The sequence below is a fragment of the Homo sapiens genome, chromosome 19 (genome assembly GCF_000001405.40).
Source record: "Homo sapiens chromosome 19, GRCh38.p14 Primary Assembly".
NCBI classification, from domain to species: Eukaryota; Metazoa; Chordata; class Mammalia; order Primates; family Hominidae; genus Homo; species Homo sapiens.
In genome coordinates, this window is record NC_000019.10 from 3998025 (window position 1) to 4011219 (window position 13195).

At 53.2% G+C, this 13195-nt stretch overlaps 1 protein-coding gene across 2 annotated transcripts in view, besides 7 other annotated features; it reads left to right on the forward strand.

Annotated features, from left to right (window-relative positions):
* Nucleotides 815–1460: an enhancer, noted in NCBI's record as "NANOG-H3K27ac-H3K4me1 hESC enhancer chr19:3998837-3999482 (GRCh37/hg19 assembly coordinates)". NCBI's record gives its function as "activates a minimal SCP1, AML or CMV promoter by ChIP-STARR-seq in naive H9 embryonic stem cells {active_cell/tissue: H9 hESC(naive)}" and the evidence as "EXISTENCE:reporter gene assay evidence [ECO:0000049][PMID:30033119]".
* Nucleotides 8738–9629: an enhancer, noted in NCBI's record as "H3K27ac hESC enhancer chr19:4006760-4007651 (GRCh37/hg19 assembly coordinates)". NCBI's record gives its function as "activates a minimal SCP1, AML or CMV promoter by ChIP-STARR-seq in primed H9 embryonic stem cells {active_cell/tissue: H9 hESC(primed)}" and the evidence as "EXISTENCE:reporter gene assay evidence [ECO:0000049][PMID:30033119]".
* Nucleotides 8738–10520: a biological region, named in NCBI's record as "H3K27ac hESC enhancers GRCh37_chr19:4006760-4007651 and GRCh37_chr19:4007652-4008542".
* Nucleotides 9146–9275: an enhancer, noted in NCBI's record as "active region_13749". NCBI's record gives its function as "activates an Ori minimal core promoter by ATAC-STARR-seq in GM12878 lymphoblastoid cells {active_cell/tissue: GM12878}" and the evidence as "EXISTENCE:reporter gene assay evidence [ECO:0000049][PMID:35858748]".
* Nucleotides 9476–9775: a silencer, noted in NCBI's record as "silent region_9866". NCBI's record gives its function as "represses an Ori minimal core promoter by ATAC-STARR-seq in GM12878 lymphoblastoid cells {active_cell/tissue: GM12878}" and the evidence as "EXISTENCE:reporter gene assay evidence [ECO:0000049][PMID:35858748]".
* Nucleotides 9630–10520: an enhancer, noted in NCBI's record as "H3K27ac hESC enhancer chr19:4007652-4008542 (GRCh37/hg19 assembly coordinates)". NCBI's record gives its function as "activates a minimal SCP1, AML or CMV promoter by ChIP-STARR-seq in primed H9 embryonic stem cells {active_cell/tissue: H9 hESC(primed)}" and the evidence as "EXISTENCE:reporter gene assay evidence [ECO:0000049][PMID:30033119]".
* PIAS4 (protein inhibitor of activated STAT 4) overlaps nucleotides 9712–13195 on the forward strand; it is a 31651-nt gene continuing 28167 nt past the window's right edge. The window contains exon 1 of one of the 2 annotated variants that reach the window (NM_015897.4): nucleotides 9712–9763. In NM_015897.4, coding sequence (NP_056981.2) covers nucleotides 9737–9763 — 27 coding nt within the window. In that variant the 5' untranslated portion in view covers nucleotides 9712–9736. Of the gene's footprint in view, nucleotides 9764–11923; nucleotides 12475–13195 lie in introns of those variants that run through there. The other variant, XM_011528060.3, reaches the window with a different exon arrangement.
* Nucleotides 9806–9865: a silencer, noted in NCBI's record as "silent region_9867". NCBI's record gives its function as "represses an Ori minimal core promoter by ATAC-STARR-seq in GM12878 lymphoblastoid cells {active_cell/tissue: GM12878}" and the evidence as "EXISTENCE:reporter gene assay evidence [ECO:0000049][PMID:35858748]".

Here is a 13195-nt window from a genome sequence, read left to right on the forward strand (position 1 = left end):
AACCAGGCTGGAGTTCAGTGGCACAATCTCGGCTCACTGCAAGCTCCGCCTCCCGGGTTCACGCCGTTTTCCTGCCTCAGCCTCCCGAGTAGCTGGGACTACAGGCGCCCGCCACCATGCCCGGCTAATTTTTTGTATTTTTAGTAGAGACGGGGTTTCACCGTGTTAGCCAGGATGGTCTCGATCTCCTGATCTCGTGATCTGCCCGCCTCGGCCTCCCAAAGTGCTGGGATTACAGGCATGAGCCACTGCGCCCAGCGTATTATTATTATTATTATTATTATTATTACTTTTGAGACAGAGTCTCTCTCTGTCACCCAGGCTGGAGTGCAGTGACACAATCACGGTTCACTGCTGCCTGGAACTCCTGGGCTCAAGCCATCCACCTGAGTAGGTAAGACTGTAGGCGTGCACCACCATGCCTACTTAATTTTTTATTTTTTGCAGAGAGAGGATCTCATTATGTTGCTCAGTCTGGTGTAGAAATCCTGTGTTCAAGCAGTCCTCCTGCCTGGATCTCCAAAAGTTCTGGGATTACACACCCGACCCACAGCACCCGGCCTTCTTTCTCTTTTAAATGTTCAAACAAAAGCATAATAATAACATGACATGTGAAAATACGTAAGATTGAAATTTCTGTGTTTATGAAGTTCTACTAGCATACAGGCCTGGCTCAGTGGTTCACACCCGTAATCCCAGCATTTTGGGAGGTCCAGGAGGGCAGATCACTCGAGGTCAGGAGTTCAAGACCAGCCTGGCCGGGGGCAGCCCCCGCCCGGCCAGCTGCCCCGTCCGGAAGGGAGGTGGGGGGCAGCCCCCGCCCGGCCAGCCGCCCCGTCCGAGAGGTGGGGGGCGTCTCTGCCCGGCCGCCCCGTCTGGGAAGTGAGGAGCCCCTCTGCCCGGCCGCCACCCCGTCTGGGAGGTGTACCCAGCAGCTCATTGAGAGCAGACCATGATGACGATGGCGGTTTTGTCGAATAGAAAAAGGGGGAAATGTGGGGAAAAGAAAGAGAGGTCAGATTGTTACGCTGTCTGTGTGGAAAGAAGTGGACATAGGAGACTCCATTTTGTTCTGTACTGAGAAAAATTCTTCTGCCTTGGGATGCTGTTAATCTATAACCTTACCCCCAACCCCGTGCTGAAACATGTGCTGTGTCCACTCAGGGTTAAATGGATTAAGGGCGGTGCAAGATGTGCTTTGTTAAACAGATGCTAGAAGGCAGCATGCTCGTTAAGAGTCATCACCACTCCCTAATCTCAAGTACCCAGGGACATAAACACTGCGGAAGGCCGCAGGGTCCGCTGCCTAGGAAAACCAGAGACCCTTGTTCACATGTTTATCTGCTGACCTTCCCTCCACTAGTGTCCTATGACCCTGCCAAATCCCCCTCTCCGAGAAACACCCAAGAATGATCAATGAATACTAAAAAAAAAAAAAAAAAAAGACCAGCCTGGCCAACATGGTGAAACCCCGTCTCTGCTAAAAATACAAAAATTAGCTGGGCCTGGTGGCGTGCGCCTGTAGACTCAGCTACTCAGGAGGCTGAGGCAGGAAAATCTTTTTTACCTGGGAGGCGGAGGTTGCAGTGCACCGAGATCAGGCCCCTGCACTCCAGCTTGGGCAACAGAGCAAGACTTTGTCATAAATAAATAAATAAAATAAAATAAAGTTTTACTAGCACACAGCCATGCTCATTTGTTTTTCTTTTTTCTTTTCTTTTCTTTTTTGAGACGGAGCCTCGTTCTGTCGGCCAGGCTGGAGTGCAGTGGTGTGATCTCGGCTCACCACAACCTCCGCCTCCCGGTTCAGGCGATTCTCCTGCCTCAGCCTCCCAAGTAGCTGGGACTATAGGTGTGCACCACCACGCCCTGCTAATTTTCGTATTTTTAGTAGAGATGGGGTTTCACCATATTGGCCAGGCTGGTCTCAAACTCCTGACCTCATGGTCCGCCTGCCTCGGCCTCTCAAAGTGCTGGGATTACAGGCGTGAGCCACCGCTCCCGGCCAGCCATGCTGATTTGTTTATTTATAGTCTACGGTTTCTTTTGCCCTTAGATGGCAGAGTTGAGTAATTGCTCTAGACATTATATGTGGTCCAAAAGCAGAAAATAGTTATTTCCTGGATCTCTACAGAAAACGTTTGCAGATCCCTGAACCAAAACAGTGCCTTGTATACAGTAGGTGCTTGATAATACAGAAAGATTATTGTTTGCATGTCTTTTTAATTTTTTATTTTTGAGACAAGGTCTTGCTCTGTTGCCCTGGCTGGAGTGCAGTGCCACTATCACAACTCACTGCAGCCTCGACCTCCTGGGCTCAAGCAATCCTCCTGCCTTGGCCTCCCAAAGTGCTGAGATTATGAGCGTTAAGCTACTGTGCCTGGTCATTACTTGTATATCTGATGTAAGAAGGGGAGGTGTTTTAGCCTTTGGAGACAGCTGGATGCAGATTAAGACAGTGGTTTAGGCTGGGCATGGCAGCTCAAGCCCGTAATCTCAGCAGTTTGGGAGGTCAATGTAGGAAGATGGTTTGAGGCCAGGAGTTTGAGACCAGCCTAGGCAGCAGAGTAAAACTCCCCCTCCCAAATCTACAAACAAACAAACAAAAAAACAAAACAAAACAAAAAAAGGCCAGATGTGGTGGCTCATGCCTATAATCTCAACATTTTGGGAGGCCAAGGCAGGTAGATCACTTGAGGTCAAGAGTTCGAGACCAGCCTGGCCAACATGGCAAAACCCCGTCTCTATTAGAAATACAAAAATTAGCTGGGTGTGTTGGCACGAACCTCTAATCCCAGCTACTCAGGAGGCTGAGGCAGGAGAACAGCTTGAACCCAGGAGGCGGAGGTTGCAGTCAGCCAAGATTGCACCCAGCCTGGGTGACGGAGTGAGACTCTGAATCCAAAAAAAAAAAAAAAAAAAAAAAAAAAAGATAGTGGCTTAGCCAATGCCTGGGCAGGTGTTCCCATCTGATACTGGCTTTCATCATCACAGAATGGGGGCTGATACAGACGCAGCTAACATGGAAACACCTTATTCTGACAGTTTCTAGGACAGGGCTCAGCAATTTTTTTGTTGTTGTTGAGATGGAGTCTTGCTCTGTTGCCCAGGCTGGAGTGCAGTGGTGCGATCTCAGCTCACTATAACCTCTGCCTTCAGGGTTCAAGCAATTCTCCCGCCTCAGCCTCCTGAGTAGCTGGGATTACAGGTGCCCACCATCACACCCAGCTAATTTTTGTATTTTTAGTAGAGACGGGGTTTCACCATGTTGGCCAGGCTGGTCTCAAACTCCTGGCCTCTAGCAATCCGCCTGCCTCAGCCTCCCAAAGTGCTGGGATTACAGGTATGAGCCACTGCACCAGGCCACGGCTCAGCAATTTTAGGTAGAGAGCATCCTGAGTCCCTCCTGATCCACCCTTCAGGTTCAACAATTGGCAACACATATATTCCATTTTGTTTTATTTTTCTCCCTCAATACTCTCCCCATTATTTCTTTTCTTTTTTTTTTTTTGAGACAGAGTTTCGCTCTTGTTGCCCAGGCTAGAGTGCAATCTCGGCTCACCACAACCTCTGCCTCCCGGGTTCAAGCGATTCTCCTGCCTCTGCCTCCCGAGTAGCTGGGATTACAGGCATGTGCCACTACGCCCAGCTAATTTTGTATTTTTAGTAGAGACAGGGTTTCTCCACGTTGGTCAGGCTGGTCTCAAACTCCTGACTTCAGGTGATTCGCCCGTCTCGGGCTCCCAAAGTGCTGGGATTACAGGCGTGAGCCACAGTGGCCAGCCTCTTCCTGTTATTTCAATGCAAATCCTATACCATTTCTTCTGTAAATATGCTTGGCAGTTATTTGTAACTGATAAGGACTCTTCATTGATTTATTATAATTATTTTAGAGACAGGGTCTAGCTATCACTCAGGCCAGAGTACAGTGGTGCTATCATAGCTCACTGCAGCCTCAAAGTCCTGGGCTCCAGTGATCCTCCTGCCTCAGTCTCTGGAGTAGGTGGCACTAAAGGTATGTGCCTCCATGGCCAGCTAATTTAAGAAAAAATTTGGGGTCAGGCGCGGTGGCTCACGCCTGTAATCCCAGCACTTTGGGAGGCCGAGGCGGGCGGATCACGAGGTCAGGAGATCAAGACCATCCTGGCTAACACAGTGAAACCCCTTCTCTACTAAAAATATAAAAAATTAGCCAGGCGTGCTGGCAGGTGCCTGTAGTCCCAGCTACTCAGGTGGCTGAGGCAGGAGAATGGCGTGAACCCTGGAAGTGGAGCTTGCAGTGAGCCGAGATCGTGCCACCCAGCCTGGGCAACAGGGCAAGACTCTCTCAAAAAAAAAAAAAAATGGGGGGGGAGCTGGGCGCAGTGGCTCACACCTGTAATCCCAGCACTTTGGGAGGCCGAGGAAGGCAGATCACCTGAGGTCCAGAGTTGGAGACCAGCCTGGCCAACATGGTGAAACCCCGTTTCTGCTAAAAATACAAAAATTAGCCGGGTGTGGTAGCACGCGGCTGTAGTCTCAGTTAGTTGGGAGGCTGAGGCAGAAGAATTGCTGGAACCAAGGAGACGGAGGTTGCAGTGAGCCGAGATCACGCCATTGCACTGCAGCCTGGGTGACAGAGCCAGACTCCATCTCAAAAAAATAATAATAATTTTTTTGTAGAGATGGGGATCTCGTGTTATTTTGCCCTGGCTGGTCTCAAACTCTTGGGCTTAAGCAATCCTCCTGCCTCAGCCTCCTAAAGGGCTGGGATTATAGGCTTGAAGCAGGCACCCAGCCCAAAACATATTTTAAAACACAGACACAGTACCATGATTACACAGAACCTTCAAACCACAAGGGTTGCAGGAATCTACAAGTGAGACAAAATTTCTCTCAACTGCCAAGCACGCTGTCTCATGCCTGTAATCTCAGCACTTTTGGGAGATTGAGGCAGGTGGATCATTTAAGGTCAGGAGTTCAAGACCAGCCTGGGCAACATGGCGACACCCCGTCTCTACTAAAAATACCAAAATTAGCTGAGTGTGGTGGCGCCCGCCTGTAATCGCAGCTACTCAGGAGGCTGAGGCACGAGAATTGCTTGAACCTGGGAAGCGGAGGTTGTAGTGAGCTGAGATCGCGCCACTGCACTCCAAACTCGGCAATAGAGACTCTGTCTCAAAAAATAATAATAATAAATAATAGAACCAAACACACACAGAGGAAGGTACATGTAAAAACGGGTGCAATCGAAATAATGTCTGCACTCGAGTTGATTCCATTATACTAACATCAACGCCCAGGTTTTGACAACATAACATGGCTATGTAAAACTTTTTTTGAATCTTTTTTTTTTTTTTTTTTTTGAGATGGAGTCTCGCTCTGTCACCCAGGCTGGAGTGCAATGGCGCAATCTCAGTTAACTGCAACCTCCGCCTCCTGGGTTCAAGCTTTTTGTTTGTTTGTTTGTTTTACATGGAGCGTTGCTCTTGTTGTCTGGGCTGGAGTGTGATGGCACAATCTCGGCTCATTGCAACCTCTGTCTCCTGGGGTCAAGCGATTCTCCTGCCTCAGCCTCCTGAGTAGCTGAGCTTACAGGCTCCCGCCACCATGCCCAGCTAATTTTTGTATTTTTAGTAGAGACAGGAGTTTCACCATGTTGGCCAGGCTGGTCTCAAACTCCTGACCTCAGTTGACCCGCCCGCCTTGGCCTCCCAAAGTGCAGGGATTACAGGTGTGAGCCATGGAGCCCAGCCAGTTATAAAAATACTATCACTGGGGAAAGCTGGGAGAAAGGTGCACAAATCTCTCTGTACTATTTTTGCAACTTCTTGTGAATCTGAATCTTCACCAAAACAAATACAAATTATACTTAAAAACAAAACCTGGCCAGGTGTGGTGGCTCACACCTGTAATCCCAGCACTTTGGGAGGCTGAGGCTGGCAGATCCCTTAAGGTCAGGAGTTCGAGACCAGCCTGGCCAACACGGTCAAACCTCGTCTCTACTAAAAATACCAAAAATTAGCCGGTGTGATGATGTGCACCTGTAGTCCCCACTGCCCGGGAGGCTGAGGCAGGAGAATCACTTGATCCTGATAGGTGGAGGTTGAAGTGAGCCAAGATCCCACCACTGCACTCCAGCCTGAGTGACAGAGAGAGACCCTGTCTCAAGAAAATTAATAAATTAAATAAAATTACAAAAATGAGCCAGGTATGGTGGCACACACCTGTAATCCCAGCTATTCGGGAGGCTGAAGCACAAGAATCAGTTGAACCTGAGAGGCCGAGGTTGCGGTGAGTCGAGATTGGCACCACCACACTCCAGCCTGGGTGACAGAGCAAGACCCTGTCTAAAACAAAACAAAACAAAACAAAAACAAAAAAACCCAATCCCCCGCAGAATCAGCAGGGCCGGAATGAAGGTAAGACTCATACGTGCAATGGCAGAGCTGGGGTTTTGCTGTCAATGGACAACATTTCAACAAATCTAAGGACCTTAACCGGCTTCATTGCAATTTGCTACACTTCATTCCATAAAATAGGATAACTGTTCCAATCAGTTGGGCAGAGGAGGTTGGCTCTACAGGAAGAGAGGGGTTGTAGAGAGCAAAATCAAAGAACAGGCTGGGCGGGGTGGCTCATGTCTGTAATCCCAGCACTTTGGGAGGATCCCCGAACTCGGAAGTTTGAGAGCAGCCTGGGCAACTTGGCAAAACCCCATCTCGACAAAAAATACAAGAATTAGCCAGGCGTGGTGGTGTGCACCTGTAGTCCCAGCTACTCAGGAGGCTGAGGTGGGAAGATCACCTGAGCCCGGGCGGTTGAGGCTGTAGTGAGCCATGACTGAGCCACTGCACAACAACCTGGGAGACAGAAACCTATCTCAAAACCAACAGCAACAACAACAACAAAAACCCAACAGCAAAGAATGTGTTAACTCATTAGTGTTACCATCAGGTTGTTTCAGGCTAGTTTTTTTTTTTTTTTTTTTTTTTGAGACGGAGTCTCCCTCTGTCGCCTAGGCTGGAGTGCAGTGGCGCGATCTCGGCTCACTGCAAGCTCCGACTTCCGTGTTCATGCCATTCTCCTGCCTCAGCCTCCCAAGTAGCTGGGACTAGAGGCGCCCGCCACCAAGCCCGGCTAATTTTTTGTATTTTTAGTAGAGACGGGGTTTCACCGTGTTAGCCAGGGTGGTCTCGATCTCCTGACCTCGTGATCCACCCGCCCTGGCCTCCCAAAGTGCTGGGATTACAGGCGTGAGCCACCACACCCGGCCAGGCTAGTTTTTTTGTGTAAGGATTAAAGAAATTAAGCAGAGGGAATTTTAGGACATTGGCCACTGAAGGCTGAAACTGGCCTGTTTGGAAAATTGGTTGGCCGGATCATCTAAGGTCAGTAGTTCTCGACTAGTCTGGCCAACATGGCGAAACCCCGTCTCTACTAAAAATACAAAAAAATTAGCCGGGTGTGGTGGCGGGCACCTGTAATTCCAGCTACTCAGGAGGCTGAGGCAGGAGAATCGCTTGAACCTGGAAGGCAGAGGTTGCAGTGAGCCGAGATTGCGCCATTGCATTCCAGCCTAGGCGACAAATGTGAGACTCCTCCTGGAAAGAAAGGGAGAGAGAGAGAGAGAGAGAGAGAGAAAGAAAGAGAGAAAATAAAATAAAAGAGAAAATGGGCTGATAGGGCTCCCTCCTGGTTTTCCCAAAGGTCAGATAACAACTTAGCTTCGTCATTGTGACTTAGAATCTGAGTGTGACTAGCTGCATTTTGTTTATTCCTGTGTCTTGGTGCCTAGCACAAGAGTTTAGTCTAAAACAACCGCCTCCTATAATTTTGTCGCCCAGGCTGGAGTGTAGTGGCATGATCAAAGCTCACTGCAGCCTCCAACTCCTGGGCTCAAGCGATCCTCCTGCCTCAGCCTCCTAAGTAGCTGGGACCACAGGCGCACACTCCTACGTCTGGCTCTTTACTTAAAATTTTGGTATTTCAGGCCGGGTGCGGTGGCTAACACCCATGATCCCAGCACTTTGCGAGGCCGAGGCCGGTGGATCACCTGAGGTCAGGAGTTCATAGACCAACCTGACCAACACAGTGAAACTCCATCTCTACTAAAAATACAAAAATCAGCTGAGCGTGGTGGTGCCCACCTGTAGTCCCAGCTACTCGGGAGGCTGAGGCAGGAGAATCACTTGAACCCGGGAGGCAGAGGATGCACTGAGCCGAAATTGCGCCACTGCACTCCAGCCTGGCGCCACTGCACTCCAGCCTGGTGACAAAGCAAGACTCCGTCTAAAAAAAAAAAAATTAGCTGGGTATGGTGGTGCATACCTGTAATCCCAGCTACTCGGGAGGCTGAGGCAGGGGAATCGCTTGAACCCAGGAGGCAGAGGTTGCAGTGAGTGGAGATCGCTCCATTGCACTCCAGCCTGGGCAACACAGCAAGGCTCTCAAAAAAAAAAAAAAAAAAGGCTGGGCATGATGGCTCATGCCTGTAATCCTAGTACTTTGGGAGGTTGAAGCGGGCAGATCACTTGAGGTCAGGGGTTGCAGAAAAGCCTGGCCAAAAAAAAAATTAGCTGGGCGTGGTGGCAGTCGCCTGTAATCCCACCTACTTGGGAGGCTGAGGCAGGAGAATCCCTTGAACCCGGGAGATGGAGGTTGCAGTGAGCTGAGATCGCGCCATTGCACTCCAGCCTGGGCAACAAGAGTAAAACTCCGTCTCGAAAATAAATAAATAAATAACAATTTGGTATTTCATCCATCATGGACTCTTTTGCACTGATTTTTTTATGTTTAAAGTGTTGGACTAGCCAGGTGTGGTGACTCGCGCCTGTAATCCCAGCACTGTGGGAGGCCCAGACAGAAGGATCATTTAAGCCCAGACATTCGAGACCACCCTGGATAACATAATGAGATCCTCGTCTCTACAAAAATAAAAATAAAAAATAAATTGCACTAAAATACTTGATTATTGAAGTTTGAAATCCACTTCTACGGGCACGAAGCCACTTAGCTCCAAAGCCAAGGAGCGCTTTGGAGAAGAGGTCCCAACTGGTGCAGATCCAAGGTTTCCCATGGGTGGGGAGGCAGGATGGGGGGGGCGCCTGCAAAGAGGTGAGGGCTGTACGATCTCCAAGGAATTTGGGAGCAGGGGTCCCGCTTTTCTCCGCCGGGCGCCCCCAGCCAGCTGGTTGCCGAGCCCACGCCCCATCTGCACACCAGGACCCGGATGTGCAGCGCGCGGGGTGTCTGGGCCCGTGGAGCCTGCACCGCGCTGCGCTGCAAGGCGCCTCACTGTACGCACTGGCGGCCGTTGCGGCGGAGCAACCATCCCCTGCCCGACGCCGCCGGGAGTCTGGAGACGCACCTGGCGGCCGCCGCGCGCAGGAAGCCACGGCACCTAGCTGCATTGTTGTCGCTGCCACCGCCCCCTCTCGCCTTCCCTCCCTAGAGGAAACCGAGCACCCGTCCCCACCTGCGCAGGGCTAGTACCACTTTAAGGAGTCAGGCGCCGCCGGGGTAGGCGTGGTCGCCGCGAGCGGGGGGGGGGGCGCTGGTGTAGGACGGACCTGATTGGCCGGAGGCCCGGGCGGTGGCCGCGCGCGCCTGCGCAGGAGGCAGCAGCGCGCACCGGCGGCGGGAGGAGCGCGCGCGGGTGCTAATTGGCCCGGGCGGCGGCCCCGCCCGCGAGTGGTGAGCGGTCACGTGACGCGACGGCTGGGGGCTCCCGGCGCGGGGGACGCTGGTGACCAAGATGGCGGCGGAGCTGGTGGAGGCCAAAGTGAGTGAGCGGTGGCGGCGCCGGCCGGGGCAAGTGGGCGAGAGGGCGGGGGCCGGGCCGCAGGTCGAGGTCTGCGCCTTCTGTCCGGGGCCCCACAGCGCGGCCGGCCCGCGGCTCGCCGTCCCGGCCCCCAGACCCCGACCCCCGGTCTCAGGGTGAGGGCGGGGGGCGGGGAGGCCGGGGGCGGGGCCCTCCTGCCTCACCCAGGTCTTCGCGCCGGGGGTCGCTCCCCCGGCTTCAGGCAGGGTCCCCCCACCCAGCCCGAGCCCTTAGGGTCCCGGTCCCTGAGCGCCAGGCCAGGGCCGCGCCTCCCGGTTGAGGCACCGTCCCGCCGGGATGCGGGACGTGTTGAGCTACTCGTTGCCCTCTTGGTTCCGAGCCGGGGTCCTTGCTTTTTGGCTGGTGTGTTGGGGGGAGTGTCTGCGCCTCCCCGCCCACAGGGCTCCCAGGACTGCTATCTGGGTCTCGTCCCCGCCCAACAGGCCAGGCTGGGGTTTGCGAGTCTCCTGCTCGGAAGGGTCCCCCGAGTCCTGGATAGTGTCCTGCCACCGTCCAGGTGGAGGAGTCAGGGCCCTGAGACCACCCCCAAGACACGGCACGTCCTCTTGGGGTCTGGAGTTCAGGCTCGGTCTTGAGCCCCTCTTCAGCTCCTGCATTGGTCCCAGAACCCCGCCCCCTTCCCGACACCGTCTCTCACACGCCGGAGTGGGCGCTTGGGGGAAGGCTGGGCCCTCCCTTTCCCTCCCCATAGGATGGAGTTCGGACCACTCTTCTTGGTCACAGACCTTCTTTATTCTCCTTTTTTTAATCTTAAATCCTGGACTGTGCTTTGGTCCTACCTCGTTCCTCTCGGGACAGAATCTGAGGCTACTGATTCTGCTTCAGGGGGCTCTAAACCTCACCTGTGCAGCATCAGATACTGTCCTCAAACCTTGGCTGCTTCTCCTATTTTCTGCTCTTGAGCGAGTCTACTTCTTAGGTCAGACACCCACCCTCCCCCTACACAGCCCCCAGAACTTTTATGCACCCCAACTTTGGTTTCTAAGGTCCCCTCTCTTTCTGCCTATTCTCTTTTGTTGATCTCTGGAGGGTCCCCACTGGGTCCAAGGCTGGCCTCTTTAGAACAACTGTTGCTGCTGCTCTATTATACTTTGGGTCCTGTCCAGGTCCCATGTCCCATAGATACCATCTCCTAGCTTGGAACCACTTTTAATCATCCTGGGATTGAGCTCAGAGTATCCCCATTCCAGGGGATGTACCTTCTTGTAGGTGCCTACCTAGAGCTGAGGGTCTAAAACCCTTAGAAGTGCCCGCAAGGCCACGGCTTCCGGGGAGGTTAGGGGACCTCTCCCTCCCCCATCCCCTTTCACATCTTCCCTCCCCACGGTCCTGACCTGTACGTATCTTCTTCTCGGTCCTCTCACATTACCCCCTGGGATCTGAAAACACAGCACTCAGGGCTCTGTGATTATAGCATATACCTCTCTTCGCCTCCCAACCCTACACCCCTGCGCACACTTCTGCTCCTCTCTAGAGTTTTGAAAAGTGGAGACTCGCCCTGGAGATGTGGAGGCCTGAACTCTGTAAACCCAAAGTGGCAGGCTCTGGGCTTGAAGTGTCCTGGAGTCCTGAAATGTAACCTCCCGTTTCGGGGCTTGGAGCTGTGACCCTGGACCCCAACCCCCACCCTGGCTGAGGGCAGGGTCTGCACTCTTTTGTACCATCCAGGCCTTGAAATATGATCTGATGAACTTTCCTTAACCCTCTGGTGGCTGGGCCCCCCCCCACCCCAATTAAATCAAGTTGACCCTTCTTTCAGGTTCTCTAAACCGTGAGCCTCCATTCAAGGGGGCCTGGACCCTGGGGAACCTTCTTTCTCCTTGAGTCTGTTGCTACCTCTCCAAGTACCTTAAATGTCATTGAAACATCCCCTTCTTTACAGGGGCCTTCCCCAGCCTGTCATATTCATGGCTGCAGATTCTGTCTTTTGGGGTGCATCACAGACTGCTCGGAGGGGCGAATGTTGGGGGTTTGTTGGTGAACTTTGAAATCTGAGACTCTCAGCTTGAGGCCTGCAGGCGGGTTTGGGGCAGGGGTGTCTGTGAGCTCCCTGAAATAGTCCACAGCGTTTCGCACAGATCTCCGCTTTCCTGGAGAGAGGCGCCTTCCTGAGCTACCCCCGGTGCTCTGAGGGGCCTATGCTGGAGGAAAGGTTCAGCGCAGCTGCTGTGTCTCGGCTGATGTCTCCCCATGCGACTTCCAGGCAAGCCTGGAGTTGAAACTCTGGAAGCTGCCGGGGCCTGGCACTGTTTATAAACACAGCTCTGACGGCAAGCAGGTCAGCTTGAAGCCAGGGCAGGAAGTGATCTTGGGGCATTTGGGGCTTCTTCCTGAATGCTTGTCCCCCCCGCACTCCCTCCAGTGTCAAGGGCAGGCTCCTCCGAGGTGGCAGCTGCTGGGAAATCTGAGTCGTGAACATATGGCCACCTAAGGGGTGTGCTCCGGGAAGCGGGAGCTGCGGCTCCACTGTCCAGCCTGGGTGGGGCAGGGGCTCCCGGGGTGCGAGGATGTCAGCAGGTTCCCCAGCCCACCTGCCTTCGGCCAGTCTGCCAGTGTGAAGTGTCCACATGACATCGTCTCTCCCTGCTAAGGCTTTGGGCCACTTCCAGAAGAAACATCTTGTCTGCAAGCCTTTTTGTTTTCTGCACAAGGTAGGAAGTCAGGCCAAGGGAGATGAGGCATTTTTGTTTTCAAAGCATCCCTGACTCTCAGGCCCAGCAGACCATGCAGGTCCCCATAGCCAGTGTGCTGGTGAGTGAGGGTCCCCCGGGCAGCAGACGGGAACACCCTTGGGAGGCCAGAGGCCGAGGGGCCGATGCCAGTCCCACGCATGTACTAGGGAGGCTCTGGGCCAGCCTCTTCCCTCTGTGAGCCTCGGTTTCCTCACCTACACGATGGGTGTCCTCATTGTGAAATTAGCGACACAGGCCTTGCTGGTGCCTGGTAGGGAGCAAGACGCTGGCATCCCGATTCTTTACAGTCACGGGGCCCCGCAGCCCTGATATGGGAAGAGGCTTCTCCCGAGGCTCTTTGGGCAGGGCTGGGCCGCCTGCACGTGTGTCCCTGTCATTTTGAGCCTGGACAGCCTCTCCGTCTCCAACAGGACCCTGGCCCGATACAGCTGGAAGAAATCAGAGCTGACAGATGAGGACCCGACAGTGGGCCCCGGCTGCTGCAGCTTTGGTGCTGAAATGTGCGGCTAGGCTCCTGGTCTCACCCTGGGGCAGCCAGGAGCCGGAAACCTCAGCGCCTCCTGGCACGGAGGCTGCAGTTTACATACCCCACTGGGACTGCCTCTGGCTTCGACCCTCAGGGTCTTTCGAGTGGAGTTTGAATGGTTTATTGGTTTCTTCGGGTACCCGCCAGCTTTCC